Source organism: Homo sapiens, chromosome 4 (genome assembly GCF_000001405.40).
Source record: "Homo sapiens chromosome 4, GRCh38.p14 Primary Assembly".
Taxonomy (NCBI): Eukaryota; Metazoa; Chordata; class Mammalia; order Primates; family Hominidae; genus Homo; species Homo sapiens.
The window spans coordinates 52,338,998-52,356,301 of NC_000004.12; the positions used below are offsets into that span (position 1 = coordinate 52,338,998).

The 17,304-nt window shown below is 41.6% G+C and overlaps 1 long non-coding RNA gene across 1 annotated transcript in view; it reads left to right on the top strand.

Annotated features, from left to right (window-relative positions):
• The window catches only part of LOC107986279 (uncharacterized), a 55,397-nt gene extending 40,327 nt beyond the window's left edge, over window positions 1-15,070 (top strand). The window contains exon 2 of the long non-coding RNA XR_001741689.1: window positions 14,103-15,070. This is a non-coding gene — a long non-coding RNA (uncharacterized LOC107986279). The remainder of the gene's footprint in view (window positions 1-14,102) is intronic.
• Window positions 15,071-17,304: the final 2,234 nt, after the last annotated feature.

The window sequence follows — 17,304 nt, forward strand, 5'->3', positions numbered from 1 at the left end:
CACTGTCTGTTCCCTGAATTCTTGTGCAGTGCTCCTCAGCTGCACCACCTGTGGCTCAAGCAGACCTAGATGCTGCTCGGGTCACTTCTCTGGAATGTGCAAGTGGTGTACCTTGGAAGCATCTACGTGGTGCAAATTCTGCAGCCCCAAAGAGCAAAACAGCTGTGGAGTCATGGCTTCCTCCACTTAGATTTCAAAAGATACCTTGGACAGTTTCGGGGCCCAGGCTGAGACATAGCACCGTGGCAGAGCTGCCACAGAAAGTCCCCATTAGGGTAATGCCTAGTAGAGTTGCAAGCAGGGTTGTCCCTGTACCCCAGACCTGTAGAGATACCAGCATGCAGCAACAACCTGGAAAAGCTGTAGGCATGAAATTTCAATGCATGAGATCTGAAGCATTAGCTGTACTCAGCAAAGCTATGAGGATGGGGTGGGGCTATCCTGGGGACTTGGGGCCCAACCCCTGCCCCAGAGTGTCTAGAAGGTAGGATATGAAGCCTAAGAAGATTATTCTAAGCTTTAAGATTTAATGTTGCCTGCTCTGTTGTGTTTTGGACTTACTTGGGATGTGTTACTCCTTTCTTCTTTTCTATTCTCAATTTTGGAATGGAAACGTCTTTCCTATGACTGTCCCATCACAGTATTTTGGAAACACATAACTTGTTTGATTGCACAGGCTTACAGTTGGAGGGAAATTTGCCTCCAAATTTCCAAATTTTCCATCACCATATAAGGATGAATTACACCTTCAGTCTCACCCATATGATGTTTAGATGAAACTTTGAACTAGGCTTTAAAGTTGATGCTGGAATGAATTAAGAATTTTGGGAGCTATTGGGATTAAATGAATGTATTTTGTATATGAGAAGAACATGAATTTTGGGGTGTCAGGGATAGAATGCTATGACTTAAATGAATCTTCTCCAAAATTCAGGTTTTGCCAGTGTGATAGTATTAAGAAGTGGTACTTTAAGAGGTGATTAGGCCATGAGGGCTCCTCTGTTGTGAATGGGATTAGGTTCCCTTATAAAGGAGCTTGATGGAGGGAGTTGGTTCTCTCTTGCTCTTTTGTCTTCTGCCATGTGAGAATGCTGCATCTTGATCTTGGACTTCTCAGCCTCAAAAACTATGAAAAATAAATTTGTATTATTTATAAATCACCCATTCTATGGTATTCTGTTATAGCAGCACAAAACATGTTAAGACAGGAAAAATTAGAAGTATGGAGCCCTCTTGATGGGATTAGTGACCACATAAGAAAAGTCAGAGAGAGATTGCTTTTTCCCCCTCTCCTCTTCACCATGTGTGGTCACAATAAGAGAGTGACCATCTGCAAACCAGGAAGGGGAGCCCTCACTGGACATCTGATCTGATGGCAACTTGATCTTGGACTTCTTAAGCCTCCAAAACTGTGCAAAATAAGTGTTTGTTGTTTAAGCCACCCAGTCTATGGTATTTTTTTATAGAAGGCTGAACAGACAAAGACATACTCTGAACTAATATGTTTTTCACCTTCTCACTGATGTTTCTTTTGCCTAGAATCATGTTAATTTCCACCATTATTTAAAAATCCCTCCTTGTACCTGATCCCAGCTATTCTCTCCTTCACTCCTTATCTTTGCTGTCACTTGTCCTTCTGCTAATTAAATTATTTTAAACAAAACTTGCCACATTTCAGAAGTTAGCCCTCTCAACAATATTTTGATAGAAACATGCCCCACTTTTTGTATTTGTCCAAGCTTTCATGACCCACATATCTTCTGTTACACATTTATTTAAAAGTTAAATTTGGAGACTTCCTCATAGAGCCAGAAAGGCTTTCTTTACTTTGCTCCTGCTACATCCTCAGTCTTGATGTCCTCTTCATCAAGATTCTTCGTGGCCATCTTTTGATAGGGAAGGTGTCTGAATTAGTCCATTTTCACAGTGCTATAAAGAACTACCTGAGACTGGGTAATTTATGAAGAAAAGAGGTTTAATTGACTCACAGTTCTGCAGGTTTAACAGGAAATATGACTGGGAGGCATCAGGAAACTTACAATCATGGTGGAAGAAGAAGGGAAAGCAAGCACATCTAACCATGGCACAAGCACATCTTACCATGGAAGAGCAGGAAAGATACAAAGATAGCACAAAGTGGGGAAGTTCCACACACTTTCCAACAACCAGATCTCATGAGGACTCACTATCATGAGAAAAGCAAGGGGGAAGTCTGCCCCAGTGATTCAATCCCTCTCACCAGGTCCCTGCCCTGACATGTGGGGATTATAATTAGAGATGAGACTTGAGTGGGGACACAAAGACAAACCATATCATTCTGCCCCAGCCCCTCCCAAATCTCATGTCCTTCTCACATTTCAAAACACAATCATGCCTTCCCAACAGTCCCCCAAAGTCTTAACTCATTCCAGAGTTAACCCAAAATCTCAAGTCCAAAGTTTCATCTGAGACAAGGCAAGTCTCTTCTTCTATGAGCCTGTAAAATAAAATAAAATAAAATAAAATAAAATAAAATAAAATAAAATAAAAACAAGTTAGTGACTTCCAAGATACAATGGGGGCACAGGCATTGAATAAATGCTCCCATTCCAAATGGGAGAAATTAGCCAAAACAAAGGGGCTACAGGCCCCATGCAGGTGTGAAAGCCAGCAGGGCAGTCATTAAATCTTAAAGCTCTGAAATAATCTCCTTTGACTCCATGTTTCACATCCAGGCTCCACTCATGTAAGGGGTGGGCTCCAAGGCCTTAGGCTGCTCTGCCCCTATGGCTCTTCAGGGTACAGTCCCTGCAGCTGTTTGTATGGGCTGACATTGATTGCCTGCAGGCACATGGTGCAAGCTGTCAGTTGATCTACCATTCTGGGACCTGGAGGGCAGTGGCCCTCTTCCCACAGCTCCACTAGGCAGTGCTCCAGTGGGGACTCTGTTTGAGGGATCCAACCCCACATTTCCCCTCCACACTGCCCTACTGGAGGTTTTTCATGAGGGCTCTGCCCCTGCAACAGACTTCTGCATGGACATCCAGGTATTTCCATACATCCTGTGAAATCTAGGTGGAGATTCCCCAACCTCAACACTAGCTTTCTGCACACACACACATACACACACACAGAGAGAGAGAGAGAGAGAGAGACCCAACAGCACGTGGAAGCCACCAAGTCTTGGGGCTTGCATCCCCTGAATCAATGAACTAAGTTGTACCTTGGCCCCTTTTAGTCTACAGTGGGAGCTGGAGCAGCTGGGATACAGGGTATCATATCCTGAGGCTTCACAGAGCGACTGGGCTCTGGGACTGGACCATGAAGGTAATTTTTTCCCCAAGCCTCAGGGCTTGTGATGGGAGGAGCTCAGCAGAGATCTCTGAAATATCCTGGAGACATTTTCCCTATTGTCTTGGCTATTAACATTCAGCTTCTCTTTAGTTATGCAAATTTCTGCAGCCGTCAGGCTGCAAATTTTCCAAACTGTTATGCTCTGCTTTCCTTTTAAACATAAGTTCTAATTTCAGACCATCTCTTTGTAAATACGTATGACTATGTGAACCCTGAGTAACTGAGATAGGTCTCAGTTAATTTAGAAAGTTTATTTTGCCAAGATTGAGAACACTCACCCATGACACAGCCTCAGGAGGTCCTGATGACATGTGCCCAAGGTGGTCGGGACACAGCTTGGTTATATACATTTTATGGAGACATGAGACATCAATCAATATATGTAAAATGTACATTGGTTCAGTCCAGAAAGGCAGAACAACTCAAGTAGGGAGGGTGCTTCCAGGTCACAGGTAGATGAGAGACAAACCGTTGTATTTTTTTGTTTCTGATTAGCCTTTCCAAAGGTGGCAATCAGGTATGCATTTACCTCAGTGAGCAGAGAGATAACTTTAAATAGAATGGGAGTCAGGTTTGCCCTAAGTAGTTCCCAGCTTGACTTTTCACTTTTTAACTTAGTAATTTTGGGGCCCCAAGATTTACCTTCCTTTCACAACTTACACTGATAGGGGCAGTCAGGCCACATCTTCAATGCCTTGCTGCCTAGAAATTTCTCTTGCCAGATATCCTAAATCATCTCTCTCAAGTACAAAGTTCCACAGATCTCTAGGGTAGGGGCAAAATGCCACCAGTCTCTTTGCTAAAGCAAAGCAAGAGTGACCTTTACTACAGTTCTCAATAAGTTCCTTATCTCCATATGAGACCACTTCACCCTGGATTTCACTGTCCACATGAGTGTTATCATTTTGGTCACAACCATTCAGCAAGTCTCTAGAAAGTTCCAAACTTTCCCACATCTTCCGGCTTCTGAGTGCTCCAAACTGTTCCAACCTCTGCCCATTACCCAGTTCTAAAGCCGTTTCCTCATTTTCAGTTATCTTTATAACAATGTCCCACTTTCCTGGTACCCATTTTTTGTATTAGTCTATTTTCACACTGCTATAAAGAACTACATGAGACTGGATAATTTATGAAGAATAGAGGTTTAATTGACTCAAAATTCTGCAGGCTTAACAGGAAGCCTGTTAAGAGGCCTCGGGAAACTTATAATCATGGTGGAAGGAGAATTTTCTTTCCAGACTCACTTTTACTTCCGTGGTCAATTTTAAATTTTTGATTGGCACCAAGTAAACAGTTACCATTTCCCTGATTATTCCTGACTTCTGAGAGAGTTCACATTTTCAACATGGTAATCAAGAATTTGCCTAATAATCTTCGAGCAGACCAAGACTTCCTGCAGGGATCTGCATAGCTGAGGGCCCCCATCACCACTCCTTCTTGCTAATTGTGTTTGTTCATGTGTATGTGCTTAATTTGCATTATAATATCTCATTCATTCTGCTATTTAGTTGGATATCAGCAGTAAACTTCCACAATTGAGCCATTGGGCTTGCTCTCCCCTCATAGCCTCTTTCAAATAATGACCACTGAACTTACAATTTCATATTCATGGATTTACATCCAGATGTACATCTTATTGGCATGCAATGCTGACCTCTGTTCTCCTACTATACATATTTCTTTTGAAGAATACCCAGTCATTTTTCAAAATGGACAATGAAATGTCCTACCCATGGTAGGAAAATGAAATCCTAAGGCCCCCAACAAATTGAATGAACACCATGTTGGCCAAAGGGACCCCAGAGAAACCTTGAAAACTGAGTTCCCAGCCATGATGGGATGGGAGGTCAGACATACCTCATTATATTTTCTCCTTGGGTCTTCCCTAAGAGTTAAAATGAAAGAAACCAGCCCTTTGGAAAGACTTGCTGCATCTCTGATATCAACCAACTGTCTAATGCTACCTCTCCCTTTTGCAGTTTCAACAAAACAACTGACCAGCATTCCTTCCTGATAGGAGGCCAATGACCAGGAGTGCTTCTGGCTGGTTAATGGAGGATGTGCAATGAGGGTTTTTGTGTCCTCTGCTTCAAGCTTTGATGTCAGAGGGCTGAAAATGCCTCCCTTGGATCATGCTACAATTGCCATTTTCTTTTTTTAACACGGGTCCCAAGGAGAGGCTTCAGCTCAGTTGTAAATGCACGCTTTTCTCCTTTCATAAATATTCATGATTCATCATGTAACTAATTGAATAGGTATATTTGCTCACCTGATTCGGCATAAATCTCTGTCTTATTCTTCTTACCCTTGAGGTGTCTCTTTCTGGCTTCTGGCCAGAGGCTACACCACCCAGCCTGTCAGAATGGCCACCCTGTAGGCTCAAACCCTTATTGAGAAATAAAGTTCTTTTTTCCAAATGTATAAACCTCATTCTTCAAGTGACAGTCATATTATAGTTACTGTTTTGGTCCTTAATACAGATCATAATTATTTCCTTGTGTTAAGATTTTAATGTCATTTTGTCATGTTATGCCACTTATTTCCAATTTGTTTTATATAATGATACACATAGCACATGATACTCATTTATAATACACACAAACAGGAGCATATTGAGATTCTGACCCAACACCTCACTTTTGTGGGAGAAGTAGAGGCTTGTAACAATTTATAATTGTTGTAACTCTTAAAAGAAAGGGGTCCCAATCCAGACCCCAAGAAAGAGTTCTTGGATCTTGCGTGAGAAAGAATTCAGGGCAAGTCCGCAGTGCAAAGCAAAAGCAAGTTTATGAAGAAAGTACAGTGGTGAAAGGACAGCTACTTCATAGACAGAGTAGGACGTACCTGAAAATAAAAGGAAGAACAAATCCACCCTAGGTACAATGCTTGTATATATGGGGAGATGTGCTCTGCTACAAGGGTTTGTGATAAAAAAAAATTAGTTTTCTTAATTACTATATTTTGCAAGAATTGATATTATTATCTTTAAAGCAAAATTAGGTATGCCTTCATTCTGAAGATATTGGGATATTAGGACACTCCCAAGTCCGGGTCTGTTTAGTAAACATTATTAATCTGCTCCCTTAACCTTAAATATCTAGAGGCTAGGAATACCTTTTTTTCTGAGAATGCAGCCCAGGAAGCCTCAGCCTCATTTTCCTAGCCCTCACTCAAAATGGAGTCACTCTGGTTTGAATGCCTCTGACATATCTCCCCCTCCCTTTACAAGAGGATCCTTAATCCTAAGGGTTGCAGAGGGATGAAGATCCATCTTCTGTAACTTCTTCAGGCTGAATGGGGGCGATGATATTCCTGCCTAACTATTAGGTTCTCTTGCATTCAGGGTAGAGAGAAGCTCAGTCAGAGAGTGTTGGTATGGTGAAGGTCATTCATAACGCCAAGTTCTGACAAAAGGTGATATCTGAAAGATTAATAAGTGTCCAATTTAAGAAAGCATTGAGTGAGTGTGTCTTGCATTCCTACACAAAGAATACAACTGCAATATATTCCACAACAGCAAAGCAAAATAAATAAAATCATTCCAAGTAAACTAAACAGAAAGGCTTTCCAAGAACTGGGCAGTTGTTGGAACCAAGCATATACAGGGTCAACTGATAGTGCATCAGTGGCAGAGATATGAGTGTCTACAGCTTTCATAGCCTGGGTAATATTATGTGAATAGTTTGGAGCATACACACAACATTCAGTTTTGATCAAGGAACAAGTTCCCCCTTGGGCCACTGTTAAAATATCCACATACCCAACAGTTTGTCTGATTATGTAGAGAGGCTAAAGTCTATGCCCATCAGTAAATAAGTTACTGTCTGCATGATTCCAAGTTATATCCAAAGGTGGAATGCCAATCCATATCTTTATGTTACCCATCCCTTTCATTTTTTCTGAACGGGAGTCGGAGATCACTGATTGGCTCATAGGAATAAACAGAATCAGTCTCTTGTGTTCCGTTGGCCTGTGGGACTTCATAAGAGACAGGTTTAATTTGAGATAAGTGGACCCAGCTGTTTATTCCCAGAAGTTTAACTGCAGTTGGGATGCTAAGGAGAACTTGCTGGGGTCACTCACATTTTGGGGAAAGCTGATCTGCTGGCATCCTTCCTTCCAAGTTTTTAATAGGACACAGTCTCCCAGCTGGATTGTAACCACCACCTTAGTTCTTCCTTAGTGGGGAAGGGAGTCTTTGATTTCCATATTCAAGGAGTGCGTTTTTCACTTGTCTTGAGTTGATCACATAATTCTGTAGCTTGAAATTATCTATGTCTATTAAGAGGTCTGTAGTTAAGAAAGGCCTTCCATACATTATTTCGAAAGGGCTGAGCTGCAGATTTCCCTTACGGGCCACTTGAACCTATAATAAGGCTACAGGTAATAAAGACAGCCTGGTTTCTGATGTCTCTTGGCGTAGTTTAGCAAAAGTCCTTTTTAGAGTTTGATTAGCTCTTTTTCCTTTTCCCAAAGACTGTGGCCTCCATGGTGAGTGAAAGCGGTACTGAATTCCTAGGGCTGAAGATATGTTTTGGATAATTGTCACTGTGAAAGATAGGTCATTATCACTCAGTAAGCTCCTAGGCAGCCCAAATCTAGGAATTATTTCCTTTAGTAGGAGTTTAGAAACCTCATTTGCCTTTTCAGACCGGGTGGGAAAAGCTTTGATCCAACCCATAAAGGTGTCAATGAATATTAATAAATATTTAAACCCTTTACATGGGGACATCTGAGTATAGTCTGTTTACCAATCTTCATCAGGGTATGTTCCCCTATGCAGAACAGGCCTTACTAGAGGAGGAGGTAAAGACTGATTATTTAGGTTATTCTGGGCACACAGTTCACAGGCCCGAGTTACCCACTTTACTGTTTTAAGTAAGCCTTTTCTTATAAAAAGCTGGGACATTAATTGAAACAGGGAATCTCTTCCCAAATGAGTACAGTCATGAAAATGTTAACTATTTTTCACTGACGAGCACCTGGTATTAACTGTTTGTTGTCATGGATAAGCCAGCCAGAAGGATCTTGCATTAAACCCTGGCCTTTAGCCCATTCTTGTTCCTCTTTAGTATACCTAGGTTCTGTCATTATCCTGGCTTAGGACATTAGCATGCGGACAAGTCCAACTAGCTCCTTTAACGCTGCTGCCTTAGCAGCTGCATCTGCAAAAGAATTTCCCTTAGCCACACTAGAGTCTCCTTTTTGATGTCCTCTGCAACCGATTACAACTTCTTCCTTGGGCAGCAAAACAGCACCCAATAGATTTAGAATTTCTAAGTGATGTTTTATAGGAGAACCCTTAGCAGTTAGGAGTCCCTGTTCCTTCCAGATAGCAGCATGAGCATGAAGTACCAGAAAGGCATACTCAGAATCAGTGTAAATGTTAATTCTTAAGTCCTTTCCCAATTGCAGGGCTCTAATAACAGCTATTAATTCTGCCTTTTGAGCTGAGGTAGAAGCTGGTAAGGCCTGAGATTCAGTTACCTGTTATTGACTGACAACAGCATACCTAGCTTTCCTGTTTCCCTGGTGCACAAAGCTACTTCCATCTGTAAACCATTCTACCTCAGGATTATCTAGAGTCTCATCCTTTAAATCTGGATGGCTGGAGTAAACTTTCTCCATAACTTGTAAACAAGAATGATCTAGGGTGCCTGTGGGTTCAGGCAAATAGGTAGCTGGATTCAAAGTTTGACATACTTTAAGTCTTATATCAGGAGTGTCTAGCAATAAAGCCTGATATTTATTCACAGGAAAGGAGAAGGAGGAATTTCTTGTCTGCCTCCTGATTTCCAAAAGATACCACTGTTTGCATTTGAGTCAACAACAAGGGAATGGGGCATTCAGGAGAAAACCAAACTCCCTGAAGATCAGCTTAGAGGATAGGTAAAGTGAAGTCTATGGGCTTGTCCATCTATCCCCTTGACCACACAGTTTTGGGGTGACAGAAGCCCATTATAATGGGTCAAAACAAAGTAAGCAGTCCAGAAGGAAGTTAATGTTCTTACCTGCCATGTCAAGCGTTACCAAGGCTCCTCTGGATATATGTTGTCCAACAGGAGCTGTGATGGAAGGTCTTGCTTCACAAGACCTTGTTACTCTTGTTACTCTTGGGCTTGCCTGGCTATTTTGGCCATGATTGGTTTGGGTGCCGATGGCTCCCTTCAGAATCTGGGCAACCCCTCTTCCAGTGGCCAGTTTTTTTACAGTGTGTACACTGATTTATGCTCAAGGTGCAGTGACTTAGATGCCCAGCTTTGGGCTTCCCACCTTTCAGCTCCCCTTGTTCAAGCCAAGAGCCAGGAGGGTAACCCCATGTAGGAAGTGAGCTTAAGGCTGCAGCCAAGAGCTGCACCTTGTGGGAAGTCCTTCTTTCTCTTTCGGCTTCCTCTGCTTTGTCCCTGTCATTAAAAACTAAAAATTCCATGTCCAAAAGCTGTCCTATAGGAGTTTGGGGACCCATAGCTGCTTTTTGTAGTTTCCTATGAATATCAGGGGCAGACTAGGTTCTAAAATGTGCTCCCAAAAGGGTCTGTCCTTCCCTTGAGGCAAGATCAGTGTTAGTATATTTCCTGATGGCCTCAACTAAACACCCTTGAAACAAAGCTGGATTCTCATCTTTGCCCTGAGAAACTTCCTTAACCTTTTAATAGATAACAGGCTTTTTCATACATTTCTTCATCTCTTCCAACAAACAAGTGACCCTATGATTTCTCCTCTCCAAGTCCTCACTGCTCCGTTAAGAGTTCCACTCTGGATCTTGATCTAGAACTCCTGTACCTCCTGCTTAATATATTGTATAGTTTGGGTTGCAAGCCAATACCTCAACTATGTGGGTCCTAGCTGTCCCCAAAATGCATTGTTTCCCTTCCACTGTACAACACAGAGACAACAAAACATTCAGATCCTGCCAAATTAAACTATAGGTCAGAGTTAATTTTTCAAACTTATATATGAATTTTCTTGGATCTTCAAATAAATGACCAAACTTCTCTTTGCATAGAGCCAAATCAGACATGGAAAAGAGAACATGTACCCTCACAGTGCCTTCTTCCCCATTTGCCACCTCTAAGTGGACAAAGGTTTCGCTTTGGAGGTTGATAGGAGGCTCCACTATGAGTAGTACTCACTGGGCTAAGCTCCTTAGGGAGTGGTGGGTGTAGAGTGGGACTACGTGGGTAAGAAGGAGGGGGCGAATTGTTCTCAATACAACTTTCAGGTGGACTAGAGGGAGAAAGGACCAACACATCTGAACCTTCAGAGTTGACAGAAGGAAGTGTTGCTCCACCCGAAACTGCCTGCCAATTCCGGGGCAGGGGGTGGGAGGTGGGCAGGGGATGGCGTTGCATTAAAGGATCATCTAGTATGTCTAGATCTTTTTCTTCTTTTCCTCTCATCAAACATGATTCACATTGCCCATATAATATTAGTGAGCTGAGACATGAATCTTAAATAAATCACAAGGTCTTTGAAAAAAAGGTTGAATAAGGCAAAGGAAATGAAGAGGATTTAGATGGGAATGACCAGAGCAAGCAGCTTCTGGCCAATAGTGGCAGTGTGGATTGGACAAGTAAAGCCAGTTTGCCCGAATCCAGGAAAGGAAAGAAGTTTTTTCATGTGCAAAATGAGACAAAACAGCAAAGAGAAAAGTTCCCTGATTTCCATCCTAGTGCTTCTCGATCACATGTAGTCTGCATAGCAGCAACAAAACATAGCTACATCTATCTAATCTTATTGCTCATAGCTGTTAAATATCGATCTCAATCAGCAATTTTAGAGATGGAGCCTTCAATGATTTTTGTTCCCAATGTTTCACAAGCGAGTGGACAGAAATCGGGAGGCGCATAGGAAATGAGTAAGGTAAAATTCCTAAGACTAGTTAAATAAAGTCTCCTGAAAATGACAGTGAAACACAGACAACAACCAAGAAATTGATGTATGCAGCAAGGAGGACAAGGCAGATTAATATGAAGAGCATAGCCTGTGGTGCCAAACCCATTTTCAGCCAAGAAGGACTTTACTGAGAGGAGCCTGTAACCCCCTAAATCTTAGAAGGGACTCTAACCCTCCTAAGTTGGGCCTCTAATCCAAGGTCAGTCAAGCGTCCTTGCCTTTTTTTATTAAGAGAGGCGTCTAACCCATTCTGTCTTTGGAGAGACTCTACCTCCCCTAACCCCATCCTATTCTTTACCCAGGTACCCCCGCACTTATCCAAAGTCGTCCAATCATTGCTGCAGTCTATTTCCTTTGGGTTGGAGGGGTTTCTTCAGTATCGTCTCTTCTGTGGTCTCCAGAAATATGTTACAGAAAAGGGGTCCCAGTCCAGACCCCAAGAGAGAGTTCTTAGATGTCATGCAAGAAATAATTCAGGGAGAGTCCAGTGTGCAAAGCAAAAGCAAGTTTATTAAGAAAGTACAGTGGTGAAACGACAGCTACTCCATAGACAGAGTAGGACATTCCTGAAAGTAGGAGAAGGAACGCATCCACCCTGGGTACGATACTTGTATATATGAGGAGATGTGCTCTGCTACAAGGGTTTGTGATAAAAAATTAATTTTCGTAATTACTATATTTTGCAAGAATTGATGTTATTATCTTCAAAGCAAAATTAGGAATGCCTTTGTTCTCCAGATATTGGGATATTAGGACACTCCCAAGTCTGGGTCTGTTTAGTAAACATTATTAATCTGTTCCCTTAACAGTAAACATCTAGAGGCTGGGAATACCTTTCTTTCTGAGAATGCAGCCCAGCAAGTCTCAGCCTCACTTTCCTTGCCCTCACTCAAAATGGAGTTGCTCTGGTTTGAACATCTCTGACATAACTATTAGCAATACATTTCAGACATAGAAGCTCATAACTGGCCCTAGTATAGATAATATCAGCCCTAGGCTTTATAAAATAGCTTGAACTCTATCTCTATATGCCTCACAGAAATGACTTAATTGACTTGATATGGATAACTTGAAACTAACGTAACTTAAAAAAAACTCACAAAATTTGTATTGTATTGAAACCACATTTGCAAAATTATGACTGAGACAGTGAAAAAGATCTAAGTTAATCAACTCCATTTTTCTTCTAATCTCCAAGTTGTCCTTGTTCATTCCTGGGTGTATGCTGAACTAACTTTGGGAGAAACTTAGTTTACAGTTTAAACAAAGACGGTAACAGACCTTTCTCAAAGCAGACCTCCTTCTTGCCTGGGGACTAGATTGCCTTTGTAGGACTAACACTAGCCACAAGATTAGAATTTATGGTTTAGGAGGCAGGCAGTTGGAGGCTACAAGATTCTGACCCTCCCTAAACTGCTCCTAAGATCAGTGCTTAAGATATTTTGCAGACCCTGCACTTGACGGATCAGCTGGCACCACCCAGATTGGCTCATTTGATCTTGTGACCCCACCCAGGAACTGACTCAGTGCCAGAAGACAGCTTAAACTCCCTATGATTTCATCCCTGACCAATCAGCACTCCTGGCTTACAGGCTTCCCCCTATCCACCAAGTTGTCCTTAAAAACTGTGCTCCCTGAATACTCGTGGAGACTGATTTGAGTAATAATAGAACTCCGATCTCCCACACAACTGGCTCTGTGTGAATTACTCTTTCTCTATTGCAATTCCCCTGTTTTGATAAATCAGCTTTGTCTAGGCAGTGGGCAAGGTGAACCTATTGGGCATTACAGTATTATTAGTAACAAAATATAACTTACCTCATGATAAATTAAGATATATTGATGTATCACTGAAGAACTGCTCTGTGCCTTGGTATGCAAAACCATGAATATTATTTTTGACCTACTTCCTTATTAGTTTCACCTGAAAATTATGAGAATTTCCTCCTTTTTCACTTGTTCTTCTTGTATGCCACTGATTACCCCTACCTTCATTATCCATTACCCTCTTTTCAATGTTAGTAATATAATGTCCTCCAAGATTTCAGCTGGGCACATGGCTGCTCAGCTGGACATTTCCCAGCCTCCCATGCAGCTAGGTGTGGTCATGTGACTGGGTACTGGCCAATTACATGTGAGCAGAAGTTATGTTACCAACTTCCATGCCAAATTCCAAAAAAAGTAATTATTTGCATTTGGTACCACTTTTAGACCCAGGCAACAGGATTGCCTTCCATGAGGCCTGTACTTTTCAAGGCCCTATTCTGGATGTGTCCCTCCCTATAGGGTGAGAATTCTGCAGGACCAAAGGGACCTGCTCACCTCCATATGGTTCTTCTAGACCAAGCTTTAAGTCCATGGAACCTTAGAATTCCTTGCCCAAATGTCTCTGAACCTGCTTCCAGAGCCTGCATGAGCTCTTCTGTGGATCTATCCTCCTGAGTGTAAACCATGCCACCAGTTCGTTCACTCCTAGGATGAAGGCTCACTGAGGAACAGCTGTATAGTGGGGAGGTATACAGACAAGAGTGTCTATACCTTGTACACAAGGATGCTGGCTGTGCAGGATGGAGCTGCAGTGGGGGAGAACAAGTGGTCAGCCATAGGCTCAGGGTCAGGTGTGAATTCTCCCTATACTGTCCTGTCCAGCTCAGAATTCCAAGAGGTCTGAGAATCCTAAATTTGCCCCTGGATTTCCAGGCAGTTAAGAAGGTATACCTGTCAAAACAGTAGGTTCGTTGGCAGTGTTTTTGCTTGTTTAATAATTTGGAAATATTTAGACAAATAGCATGTGGGCCTATAATTGTATCTCTGTCCTGGTCTCCTGAGTTCAGAAAAAGGCCTGCTTACACCTTTCTTCCTTTTTTCCTTAGGCTGGAATACAGATGTGTTGCTGACCAGCAAGCTCTGACCTTGTATGAACAAATACAGTATCTAAAGGGATGGCAGAGCAACCCAGTCAAAGGAACTGACTTCCTGAATGAGCCTGCATTCTAGAGCCACCCCAGCTCTGGAATGCTCATACCTAACTGTTCCCTGGAGAAATGCCAACTTCTCTCTTGTTTGAAACACTGCATTTTGGATTTTCTTTTTAATCAGTATGATCTGTATTCTAACCAACACAATGAGTTTCAGTCTCTTCTTCCCACTCTGCACACCACTGGTTCTATTTGAAGACCTTCTTAATAAGATGAATAGATTCCTAGTGAAGCACACTCTTTCTACTAAATATAAGATTCACTTTGTCTCATACTGGGTGCTCTGCAGCCAGACTGCTTGAGTTTGTGTCTCAGGTGTCCTTTTACTTTCTATATGTGACCTTGACAATGTTAGTCAACCTCTCTGTGTCTCATGTTTCTCATTTGTAAAATGGAGATTAAAATAGTTTCTTCCTTCTCAGGTTGTTGGGAGATTAGATGAGAATCTTAGTCTGTTCAGGTATAACAAAATAATATCAACTGGGTGGCTTATAAACAGTAGAAATTTATTTCTCATAGATCTGTAGGCTGTAAGTCCAAGATTAAGACACCAGCAGATTCAGTATCTGGTAAAGACTGGCTTTCTGGATCACAAACGACAATCATCTCACTGCATTTTCACATGCTGGAAGAGCTGAGTAAGCTCTCTGAGGTCTCTTTCCTAAGGGCACTAATCCCATTCATGAGGGCTTTACCACCATGACATAATCACCTCCAAGAATCCCACCTCCAAATGCTATCACATTAGACATTAAGAATTAGCATGAATTTTGGGGGAAACAAACATTCTGTCTATACATGCACAAGACCAAGAACAATATCTGGCAAAAGTAGGCTATCAATAAATTTCAAATTTTTTATTATTATTTGTTTCAACTGGCTTTCATTTTTTATTAGATTGTGCTACAGTAACAAACAGTTCCCAAATCTCAGTGACTTACAACAAAAAAGCTTATCTCCTTGCTCACCTTGCATGAGAGCTACAGCTCTGTTTCAAATAGCTCCTTCTTCCCATGATCAGGCTGTTTGAGACACTGGTGTTCTTGTGGAAGAGGTAAAAAATATATAGATATAGCAGAACAACGCAATAGCTTCCAAGATACCTACAGAACTTCTGCTCACATTTCATTGGACAAAGCAAGTCACATGGCCAATCTTGATATCCCTAGGGTAGAGAAGCATAACCCACTCACATAGAGGGGCAGTGAAAAGTGGGAAATAATAATGCAGTCTACCACATTATCAATCTAGTGCCAAAGCTGTGGTGCGTAAAACCACATTCTTTGACAGCTGCGATTTTGCTGGCTCAACAACACACCTTCTTAACTCCCAAAGTGACAAATGGAGAGGGAGATGTTTGATCCATCTGTGCCCCTGATTTTCCACGTCCCTGATTTTTCTACCCCTGATTTAAGTGATCACAACAGCATTTTATATTTTTCCTTTCTTAATCCTTCCTTCTCCTACAACTAGGGAGGCAGGAGAAATGGGTTTGATGGTTTTTAGGCTGCAAGGCCATAGAAAAACTTTGGGGGTAGATTGTGTTATTGCTCTCAACTCTTTATTCTCCCTTTGTACAAAAGAAGTGTATGTCCTGCCTGTTTCCATGAATATTCAGTGTCTCTTATGAGAAAAAGAATATACAGCCCAGTCCTATTGACATAGGGCTTGGCCATGTAACTTGCTTTGGCCAATAAAGTGGAAATAGATATAACTTATGCCACATTTAAACAGAAGCCCTTTGCCATAAGAGTAGCACGTTGTAAACAGGGGTTCCTTCACCCTGTATCCCAAGCAAAGTCACATCCAACAGAAGCGAAGCTTTGTTGCTGCAAACCACAGAGCATTGGGCATCATTTGTTACCACGGCAGAGAGAATCAATGTGCCTTTTGATTTAGCACCATCTGTCATCACACACCCACCTCAATCCTTTGAAGTTGGGAGGTGCAGAGCTCTATTTCTTGTCCCTCCCTCCCTTAATGGGCATCAAGATTCTTCACAGGGAAAATGTTCCACAGAGCATGGGAGCTTAGTTCTTCTGAGTGGCCAGTTTTGCCTCCTGTGGAAATAGGCTCTTGTGAATAACACCAGCAGTAGTGTCTTCTTCTCTTCCCCTCCAGTATCATACACTCATATTCAATCCTTGATATCAAATTTGATTCTCCTCTGATTTCTTGGCATACTAATTTTTTTCTGTTTCCTGCTTGGATAACTTATCTCATGCTCTCCAGAAATACTTCATGAACTAGAGCAAAGAAAGGCAGGTAAAAGGGTACAATAGTGACAAACAGGCAAGACCCTGCCCTCATAGAGCTTAGATTCTAGTAGGAAAGACAGACAAGAAATGATAAACAAAAACGCAACGTCAGATGGTGAGGAGTGCTATGTAAGAAAAATAAATCAAATAAGGGGAATAAGAATGACAGAGTTTTACATTAGCCTGGGTGGGCTGGAGCAACTGCATGTGTTAACACACTTTAGCATGGTACCACTATGTCCACACACCGTAGACTATGTCTTTGGCTAAACCACAGGATGTCGCTAGCAAAAATCCTGAGTGCTGACCATTTTCAGTATCTTTAGCACATATGGTATCAGTCACACCTGAGAATATCCCACTGTGTTCTACTTGCTGCTTTGAGAACCCCAGTGCTGTCTTCTTTCTTAATTGTAGACCAATGTGTTGATGACTCACCTCAGGTTTGTGTATTGCATTGTTTTAAAATATTTCTCTTTGTGCCTCAAATTTAGAAGGGAACTCAAGACAGCAGTGAGGAAACAAGAAATAGGAGAAAATATTTGTTTGCATTTGGCAAAAGAGAAGCCGAAAAAGAGCCTGGGCTGTTGCACTTTACAACTTTGCTCCCTTCCTCCACCCCTCGAATTGGGGTTCATTTATAACAGGGAAGCAGCTTGACAAGAAGCAAATATGACTTATCTGTAATATTTTATTTATTTTAAAAAAGAAAGAAAGACTAGAACCAAATCTGACTAAACTTAAAACTTACTAATTTTGCATGGTAGAAAGATGAATGTTTGTCATGTGGGTCTTTATTCCCTTCTATGTTTAAAATGTATCTTTAAAAAAAGGTTCTA